Source organism: Homo sapiens, chromosome X (assembly GCF_000001405.40).
Source record: "Homo sapiens chromosome X, GRCh38.p14 Primary Assembly".
In the NCBI taxonomy this organism is placed as follows: domain Eukaryota; kingdom Metazoa; phylum Chordata; class Mammalia; order Primates; family Hominidae; genus Homo; species Homo sapiens.
In genome coordinates, this window is record NC_000023.11 from 81,318,548 (window position 1) to 81,328,769 (window position 10,222).

Below are 10,222 nucleotides of genomic sequence, written 5' to 3' on the forward strand. Positions count from 1 at the left end.
AGTAGTTTCATAAGTTGAGGTTTTAGATTTATTTAATTCTTTAATACATTTTAATTTGATTTTTGTATATAGTGAGAGGTAGGGGTCTAGTTTCACCCTTCTGTATATGGAAATTCAGCTTTCCCAGCACTGTTTATTGAAAAGACTGTACATTTTTGGCACCTTTCTCGAAAATGAGTTCACCACTTAGACACTGTTGGTTGTAGAAATGTAAATTAATTCATCCACTGTGGAAGGCAGTTTGGAGAGTTCTCACAGAACTTAAAACATATCTACCATGTAACCCAGCAATCCCATTATTGGGTATAAACCCAAAGGAAAATAGGTCACTATACTAAAAAGATGCATTTACTTCTATGTTCATTGTCATACCATTTACAAAGGCAAAGACATGGAATCAACCTAGAAGCCTATCAATTTCGGACTGAATAAAGAAAATGTGGTACATATACACCATAAAATACTATGCAGCCATAAAATAGAATGAAATCACTTCCCTTGTGGCAACATGGATGGAGCTGAAGGCCACAATCCTAAGTGAACTAATGGAGGAACAGAAAACCAAATACCACATATTTCACTTATATGTCTTAGCTAAACATTGAGCACATGTGGAAGTAAACACTGGATGCTTGGAGGTGAAGAACTGAAGATAATTGGTCCTGTGTATAGGAGCCTTTATTATTATTATTATGGCAGCTTGATTTTTGTAACGTGTTGATTGAGCACAATCATAGTACAGTAGTAACTAAGCCCCCCTTCTTCCTGGATAAGTGAGCAGATGATTCAATATTGATGATAGCATCCTTGAACCATATCAAAGTAGGAATGTTTGGTTACTGCTTCGGTCTGAAATGATGCTGTGTTTTGGTTGTGCTTCAGAGCTTTGAGGTGCTACTTGAAATCTCCTTTCTTCTACGGAGCTCTGACCAGTTAAACACAACAGATTGGATAAAATACTATTTAGATTGTGTCTTGCTTGTCTCCATTCTATGATCTTTGTATGAATCCAATGGTTTTGTTTTTCTCTGTTTCTTTTTTTTTTAACAGTTTTTAGCTGATGTTTATGAAGAATAGTGAGTACTAGAACTGTGCAGCTAATGAAAGGAAATGCTGTCTAAGAAGGTACCTTTCTTTTTTTTATTATACTTTAAGTTCTAGGGTACATGTGCACATTGTGCAGGTTTCTTACATATGTATACATGTGCCATGTTGGTGTGCTGCACCCATTAACTCGTCATTTACATTAGGTATATCTCCTAATGGTATCCCTCCCCCCTCCCCCCACCCCACAACAGGCCCTGGTGTGTGATGTTCCCCTTCCTGTGTCCAAGTGTTCTCACTGTTCAATTCCCACCTATGAGTGAGAACTTGTGGTGTTTGGTTTTCTGTCCTTGCAATAGTTTGCTGAGAATGATGGTTTCCAGCTTCATCCATGTCCCTACAAAGGACATGAACTCATCTTTTTTTATAGCTGCATAGTATTCCATGGTGTATATGTGCCACGTTTTCTTAATCCAGTCTGTCATTGTTGGACATTTGGGTTGGTTCCAAGTCTTTGCTATTGTGAATAGTGCCACAATAAACATACATGTGCACATGTCTTTATAGCAGCATGATTTATAATCCTTTGGGTATATACCCAGTACTGGGATGGCTGGGTCCAATGGTATTTCTAGTTCTAGATCCTTGAGGAATAACCACACTGTCTTCCACAATGGTTGAACTAGTTTACAATCCCACCAACAGTGTAAAAGTGTTCCTATTTCTCTACATCCTCTCCAGCACCTGTTGTTTCCTGACTTTTTAATGATCGCCATTCTAACTGGTGTGAGATGGTATCTCATTGTGGTTTTGATTTGTATTTCTCTGATGGCCGGTGATGATGAGCATTTTTTCATGTGTCTGTTGGCTACATAAATGTCTTCTTTTGAGAAGTGTCTGTTCATGACCTTCACCCACTTTTTGATGGGGTTGTTTGTTTTTTTCTTGTAAATTTGTTTGAGTTCTTTGTAGATTCTGGATATTAGCCCTTTGTCAGCTGAGTAGATTGCAAAAATTTTCTCCCATTCTGTAGGTTGCCTGTTCACTCTGATGGTGGTTTCTTTTGCTGTGCAGAAGCTCTTTAGTTTCATTAGATCCCATTTGTCAATTTTGGCTTTTGTTGCCATTGCTTTCAGTGTTTTAGACATGAAGTCCTTGCCCATGTCTATGTCCTGAATGGTATTGCCTAGGTTTTCTTCTAGGGATTTTATGGTTTTAGGTCTAACATTTAAGTCTTTAATCCATCTTGAATTAATTTTTGCATAAGGTGTAAAAAAACGATCCAGTTTCAGCTTTCTACATATGGCTAGGCAGTTTTCCCAGCACCATTTATTAAATAGGGAATCCTTTCCCCATTTCTTGTTTTTGTCAGGTTTGTCAAAGATCAGATGGTTGTAGATGTGTGGTATTATTTCTGAGGGCTCTGTTCTGTTCCATTGGTCTATATCTCTGTTTTGGTACCAGTACTGAGCTGTTTTGGTTACTGTAGCCGTGTAGTATAGTTTGAAGTCAGGTAGCATGATGCCTCCCGCTTTGTTCTTTTGGCTTAGGATTGACTTGGCAATGAGGGCTCTTTTTTGGTTCCATATGAACTTTAAAGTAGTTTTTTCCAATTCTGTGAAGAAAGTTATTGGTAGCTTGATGGGGATGACATTGAATCTATAAACTACCTTGGGCAGTATGGCCATTTTCACGACATTGATTCTTCCTATCCATGAGCATGGAATGTTTTTCCATTTGTGTCCTCTTTTATTTCATTGAGCAGTGGTTTGTAGTTCTCCTTGAAGAGGTCCTTCACATCCCTTGTAAGTTGGATTCCTAGGTATTTTATTCTCTTTGAAGCAATTGTGAATGGGAGTTCACTCATGATTTGGCTCTCTGTTTGTCTGTTATTGGTGTATAAGAATGCTTGTGATTTTTGCATATTTATTTTGTATCCTGAGACTTTCCTGAAGTTGCTTATCGGCTTAAGGAGATCTTGGGCTGAGACAATGGGGTTTTCTAGATATACAATCATGTCATCTGCAAACAGGGACAATTTGACTTCCTCTTTCTTTACCGAGCTGTCATACCATCCTTTGGGCTCTCTGCTGGAAAGGTAGAGTCAAGCCTCAAATAATGCCTTTTTAATTGTATCCTGTAGTATTATAGATGTAGGAGAGTACTGTATGATACCTCTGTGAATGTGAAATATCTTGTTCCTGCTTTATGATACATAGTAGTGACAGTGCTTCATCAGATCTGTGTTTAGTGATATTATTCCAGAATTTTTTTTCCAGATGATGATTCAGAAGCTAATTTAAAAAATAGTGCCAAGTACCACAAGAAAAACAGAACATTGCTATTTTCTGGGGTTTTGTTTTTTACCTTTTCTCCCTTTTTAAATGGGGTTTGCTAGATGTCTCTATAATTGTGTTCAGATGATTACAGAACCTGGAAAAGCTGTTGCTGCTACTATGCATAACAGTTATTATTGATCTATAAATCTATATTTGTATATTATATATATATATTTGTATTTTTTGAAAGTTTAGCTGTGCTCTCAGCTTTGGAAAATGTATTACATTTTATCGTGTTGAGTTGGCATTGTGCAGAAATTAACAGTCATATTGATCTAGGAACATTAAATATAATTTTTTCCATTGTATGGGGGTAATTCACTGTATTAAGTATGTGAGATCTTATCTACATGAGTTTCATTATACGAACAAATATGATCTAAATAATGAAAAAAAATGAGTTCACTTTAGTTGTATGGATTCATTTCTGGGTTGTCCAATCTGCTCCATTGTTTTATGTGTCTGTTTTTATGCCAGTACTACACTGTTTTGGTTACTATAGCTTTGTAATTTGAAGTTAGGTAATTTGATTCCTCCAGTTTTCCTCTTTTTGCTCAGCATAGCTTTGGGAATTCTGAGTCTTTTATGCTTCCATATAAATTTTAGGGTTTTATTTCTGCTTCTGTGAGGGATGTCATTGGTATTTTGATAGGGTTAGTATTGAGTCTGTAGATTGCTTTGGGTAGTATGGGCATTTTAACAATATTGATTCTTCCAATCTATGACATGGAATATCTTTCCATTTTTTGTGTGTGTCCTCTTCAATGTCTTGCATCAATGTTTTATAGTTTTCATCACAGAGGTCTTTCACTTTGGTTAATTTTATTACTATGTACTTTATTTTATTTGTAGCTATTGTAAATGAGATTACTTTAAATTTCTTTTTTCAGATTGTTTGCTGTTGGCATATAGAAATGATACTGATTTTTGCATGTTGATTTTGTATTCTGCCACTTTACTGAATTTGTTCATCAGTTCTAATAGTTTTTTTTGGTGGAATCTTTAGGTTTTTCCAAATTTAAGATCATATTAACTGCAAACAAGGATAATATGACTTCTTTATTTCCAATTTAAATGCCTTTTATTTGTTTATCTTGTCTGATTTCTCAAGCTAGGACTCCCAGTACTGTGTTGAATAACAGTTGTGAAAGTGGGCGTCCTTGTCTTATTCCCGATCTTAGAGGAAAGGCTTTCAATGATATAGTTTTTATAATTGTTGTATCTTCTTGATGAATTGACTCTTTCTTCATTATAAAATGTCCTTCTTTCTCTATAAATAACTTTTATTGTTAGTTTAAAATCTATCTTCTGTGGTATAAGTATAGTCATTCATCTTATTGTTGTTTTTCATCCTTTCGCTTTCAACCAGTTATTATCTTTGAATTTAGTGTGTGTGTCATAGAAAGTATAAAATTGGATGTCGTTTTTTTTTTGTGATGTTATCTGCTTTTAGATTGGATTGTTCAATCTGGTGACATTAATGTTATTATTGATATAGTTGGATTGACATCTGTGATTTTGCTTTTCGTTTTCTGTCTCATGTCATTTTTGTTCCTTTTTTACTGTATTCTTTTAAGTTAATTGAATATATTTTTAGTGTAAGCTTTTAATTCTGTTGATTATTTTAAAATTGTATTTTTAGTTATTTTCTTAGAGTTTCTGTCTAGGGCTTACAATACACATTTTAATTTATCAAAATTTCCTTCAGATTTGTATTAACTTAATTTCAGTGAAGTATAGATATTTACTCCTATAAACTCTATCCCCTTTTGCCATTTTCATGCTATTATAATTATACGTATGGCATCTATATATATTACAAATCCATAAGTACATTGTTTTAATTATAACATTATATAGTATGTCTTTTAAAGAGACTATGAGAATAGAGCAGAACACAAATATAGAGTTTTTATAATATGTATATTCTTCTTTACCCTTTTGGCTCTCTTCATTTATTTCTGTGGAACTGAGTTACCATCTTCTGTCATTTCCTTATGACAGTACTGCTCTATGCCCTTAGGGAAAACTTCCAGAAATTTAACTTGTGTTTTAAATAATTTTCTTTGTTGAATTGTTTTGTTGTATCAAAGACTGCCATGTTCCTCACTCTTCCATTACAAAAGCTCAGCATGGTTGCCTTTTACAATAAAGTAAATCTTATTTCCTGTACAAATTTAAAAGCTTTGACATACAAAATCATTTAACTGACTGAGATTTTAAAAATCTTTGAGCTTTTAATTTGTACTACTACTCGAGTAATGTATTGGAAGGGGCAGAGAGACAGTAATGGGCACATGTTTTTAGCACTTTCATTTTCCTTCTCCTACTTTTGAGTAAAGTACAATGGCTATAGAACTTGTATAGAACACCTTTCTCTTCTCCCTTTTTTTATCCAAGTCCCAATTGTGTTATTGTGACTGGGCATCATGAAAGTTGTGCATCTACTCTGGGCACTCTGCTAGGTACTCTGCATATATAATTTCACTTAATCTTCACAATAGCCCTGAAAAGTAGGTACGAGGGTTAATTTTACGTGCCAGCTAGACTATGATGCCTAGTAGTTTGGACACCAGTCCAGACGTTCCTGTAAAGGTGTTCTTTAGGTATGATTAACATTTAAATTAATATACTTTGTAAAACAGATTACCCTTCATAAAGGTGAGCAGACCTCATTCAATCATGTGAAAGCCTTAAGAGAAAAAGGTTGAGGCCCACTGAGGAAGCAGCAACTCTGCTTCCAGACTGCTTGCAGACTCAAGACTACAACGTAAACTCTGGAATTTTCAGCCAGCCAGCTTGCTCTGCAGATTTCAAACTTGCCAGCCTCCACAATTGTGTAAGCCAGTTCCTTAAAATGTATCTTTTAAATTAATTTCTTACATGAATCTCTCTTTCCTTTCTCTCTTGCTATATATGTATACATAGACATATATATTTAATACAGATAGAAATATATACATATCTATGTATATCTACATAAATATATATCTTTGTTGATATGTAGACATTGATCAATATACATAGATACATAGATGCATGTCTTTATAGATGTATAGATATCTATATGAACATAGATATGCATATAGAACATGTATGAACATAAATATAGCTATCTGTTCCTATATATCTATACCCATAGATATATAGATATTGATATTTATATATATAGAGAGAGAGATTTATATATATGTAGTTATTTACATATCTATCTGTTTATCTGGAGAACCTTGGCTAATACTGTAGATATTATTATCTCTACATTTTTGATGGAGAAACTGAAATTATGTAACCTTTCCAGGGTTACACAGCTGGGAAATAGCAGTTCTCTAAATATTAATAACTCTAAAATCTGTGTTTTTGCCACTCACTGCCATTCCTCTTAAAGTGAGGCTGAACGGAACCATTTTCCCTGCTTCTCTCTACCCCTAAATTCTCTTTAGATGACCATATATAAAATAAATACATTCCTGAACACTGACTATAAAGTCAAATTCTTGGGCACAAACACTTTTTTTATTTACTTGAATTTAAAAATTACATCCTGGTCTTACTGAATGCTGCAGTTTCTGTGGCAGCAGGAAGTCTAAACTTTGAAATAGAATTTTAAGGCAAATACTACAAACAAGTAACTTAGATAAACAAATCAGAGAAGGTACAGATTTTACCTCAACTGTTTATCTTGTATAATTTTAATCTAACTCTTTATTCACAAAGCATTTTGATACTTATATTGGTTTTATCAGCTCCATCAATAAAAATAAGTCAAATGAAGAATTGGACTGACAGTTTCTGGACTGGCTTGAAGAGGTGAAGTCAGTTAAAATAATCAAACAGGTTTGTTTATGTTGATGATACTTGAACGAAATAGTGGATAGTTTTATTTCCTTTCAGTTTTTTTACTATATATATTGGAAATATATACAGATCACATTTCTCTATTTCACATCTCTCTAAGTGTTAGTAAAGTGTTAAGCAGAAGATTTGGGGAAGCATGTGTTTATTAAATTTATAATAACTAGCTTGGAGTGGAGGTGGGAAAAACACAAATTAACATCTGGTTTAATGACTGACTCCTCAGCAAATGGGACAACAGTCTACATGGTTAATGGCCAATGGACATTTCAACTCAATTCTACTTTTTTTTTGTTGTTTCCTACAATGTATCTGCCACGATGCTATGCTTTGGGAATGTATAATTAAGGCAGAAGACATTCTGGGTCATCAAAAAACTCAGTCTTAAAATCAAATTCTCTACATTTTGTAATGTTTAAGTTGTAAAGTGCTACTGTCAATAGTAATTATAATTATTCACTGATTTGACCCATATTTTTAATTGTATACTATGTAGCAGGCACTTTGTTAGAGAATGAGAATACTATTATGAACAACACATTATGCCTACTTTTAGAAACTGATTGCTGTGGTTTGGATATGGTTTGTTTGTTCCTACCAAAACTGATCTTGAAATTTGGCCTCCAATGTGGCAGTGTTGAGAAATGGTGACTAGTGAGAGGTGTTTGGATCATGAGGGATGACCCATCATGAAGGGCTTAGTGCCATTCTGACAGTAGTCAATGAGTTTTCTCTCTGGTGAGATTGAATTATTTCTTATGGTAATGGATTAGTTTAGTTCTCATGGAAATGAGTTCATTACCTCAAAAGTGGGCTGTTAATAAAGCCATAATGCCCTTTGGGTTTTGCCTCTTTGTACGTGTCTATTTCCCCTTTGACCTTCTCTGCCACGTTATGACCACGTAGTATGAAATCCCTCATCAGAAGCCAGAGCTATGCCCTTGAACTTCCCATCATGCGGAACTGTGAAGTAAATAAACCTCTTTTCATTATATATTACTCAGCCTCAGGTATTCTGTTACAGCAACACTAAATTGACTAAGGCATAAAATTGGTACCAAGGAGTGGATTGTTACTATAAAGATACCTGCAAATGGGGAAGTGGCTTTGAACTGGGTAAAGGGCAGAAGTTGGAAGAGTTTGAAAGAGCAGGCTAGAAGGAGATGGTATTGCAGCAATGGGAGCATTAGGGTGCTTTTGGTAAGTACTCAAAAGAAGACTAAAAAAATGAGGGAAAGTTTGCAACTTTTTAGAGATTGGGTAAGTGGTAGTGACTAAAATTAGACAGTAAAGGATATTCTGATGAGATTTCAGATGAAAATGAGTATTTATTTGAAAAGTAGAACAAAGGTCACTCTTGTTATAAAGTTGCAAAGAATTTGGCTGCATTATGTCTATGCTCTACAGCTTTGTGGAAGGCCAAACCTAAGAATAATGACCTAGCATGTCTGATGGAAGAAATTTCTAAGCAGCAAAGTGCTCAAGAATTAGTGTGGTTACTTTTAATAGCTTATGATTAGTTAAGGCATCAAAGGAATGACCTAAGAGCCAGAATTTATAATTAAAAATGAAGCAGATCATAAAAATTTGGAAATTTCATAGCCTGGCCTTGTGGTAGAGAATAAAAGGGAATTTTAAGGAGAGGAATCAAGACTGGCTGAGCAACGGATTGCTAAAGAAGTTAGCAGGGCTAAAAGGGAGACAGGTGCAAATAGTCAAAACAATTAGAAGGCTACACCGGCATTTGAAGATCTTCATGGCTGTCCTTTCCAACACAAGCCCAGAGGCCTGGAAGGGCAGAATGGTTTTCTAGGATGAACCTGGGGCACTACTGCCTTACATCAACTCAGGATGCTGCTCCCCAAATCTCAACCCATCTGGGTAGATCAGTCATCACTTTAACAGCCTCAGGTATGGCTCAGACCACTGCTCCAGAGGGCCAAAGTAGTAAGTCTTGATGGTTTCCATATGGTACTAAGTCTACAAGTGCCTAGAATACAAGAGTCATGGAGGCTAGGTGGCTTCCACCTAGATTTCAGAGGATATATCTGAAAGCCTGGGAGCCCATCCAGAAACTTGCTACAGGGTGGAGCCACCGCAGGAAATCACTACTAGGGCACTACCTAGTGGAGCCATAGGGGCAGAGCCACCACTGGGCCCCCAGAATAGTAGAGCCACAGGCAGTGTGCAATACCAGCTAGGAAAAGTCACAGGCATTCAACTCCAACTTGTGAGAGCAGCCACGTGGGCTACATCCTGGAAACCTATGTGGGCAGGTCTTCCGAGGGTCTTGGGAGCCCACCCCTCACACCAGTGTGCCCAAGATGTAGGACATCGATGTCAAAGGAGATTGTTCTGGAGCTTTAAGATGTAATATAATCCCAGCAGTTAGAAAGGCCAAGGCAATAGGGTCACATGCGCCCAGGAGTTCAAGACCTTCCTGGGCAACATAGGGAGACCCTGTCTCTGTGAAAAGTAAAACAAATTAGCCTGGCATGGTGGCACACACCTGTGATCCTAGCTACTTAAGATGCTGAGGTAGGAGGGTCAGTAGGGTCCAGGAGATTGAGGCTGCAGTGAGCCATGATCGTGCCACTGCACTCCAGTCTGGGTGACAGAGCAAGACTCTGTCTCAAAAAAAGAAAAAAAAAAGGATTTAATTCTGCATGTCTGCCCTGCTGGGTTTCAGATTTACATGGGGCTTATTTTTTTTTTTTTTTTGGCCTATTTCTCCCTTTTGGAATGGGAAAGTCTACCAAATATCTGTCCCACCATTATATCTTGGAAGTAAATAACTTGCTTTTTATTTTATAGGCTCATAGCTGAAAGGAACTTGCCTGAGTCTTCAATGAGACTGGATTTTGGACTTTAGAGTTAATGCTGGGACAAGTTAAGACTTTTGAGACTACTGAGATGAAATGACGTATGTGAGAAGAATATGAGTTGAGGGGGAGGGGAAGAATGCTTTGGTTTGGATAGCATTT

The 10,222-nt window shown here is 36.1% G+C and overlaps 1 long non-coding RNA gene across 1 annotated transcript; it reads left to right on the top strand.

The window, feature by feature from the left end:
- The first annotated feature begins 536 nt into the window (after positions 1–536).
- On the top strand, positions 537–9,729 carry LOC124905203 (uncharacterized). Its single transcript, XR_007068279.1, has 3 exons — positions 537–638; positions 1,051–1,125; positions 6,029–9,729. It is a non-coding gene; the product is annotated as an uncharacterized LOC124905203 (long non-coding RNA).
- The last annotated feature ends 493 nt before the right edge of the window (positions 9,730–10,222 follow it).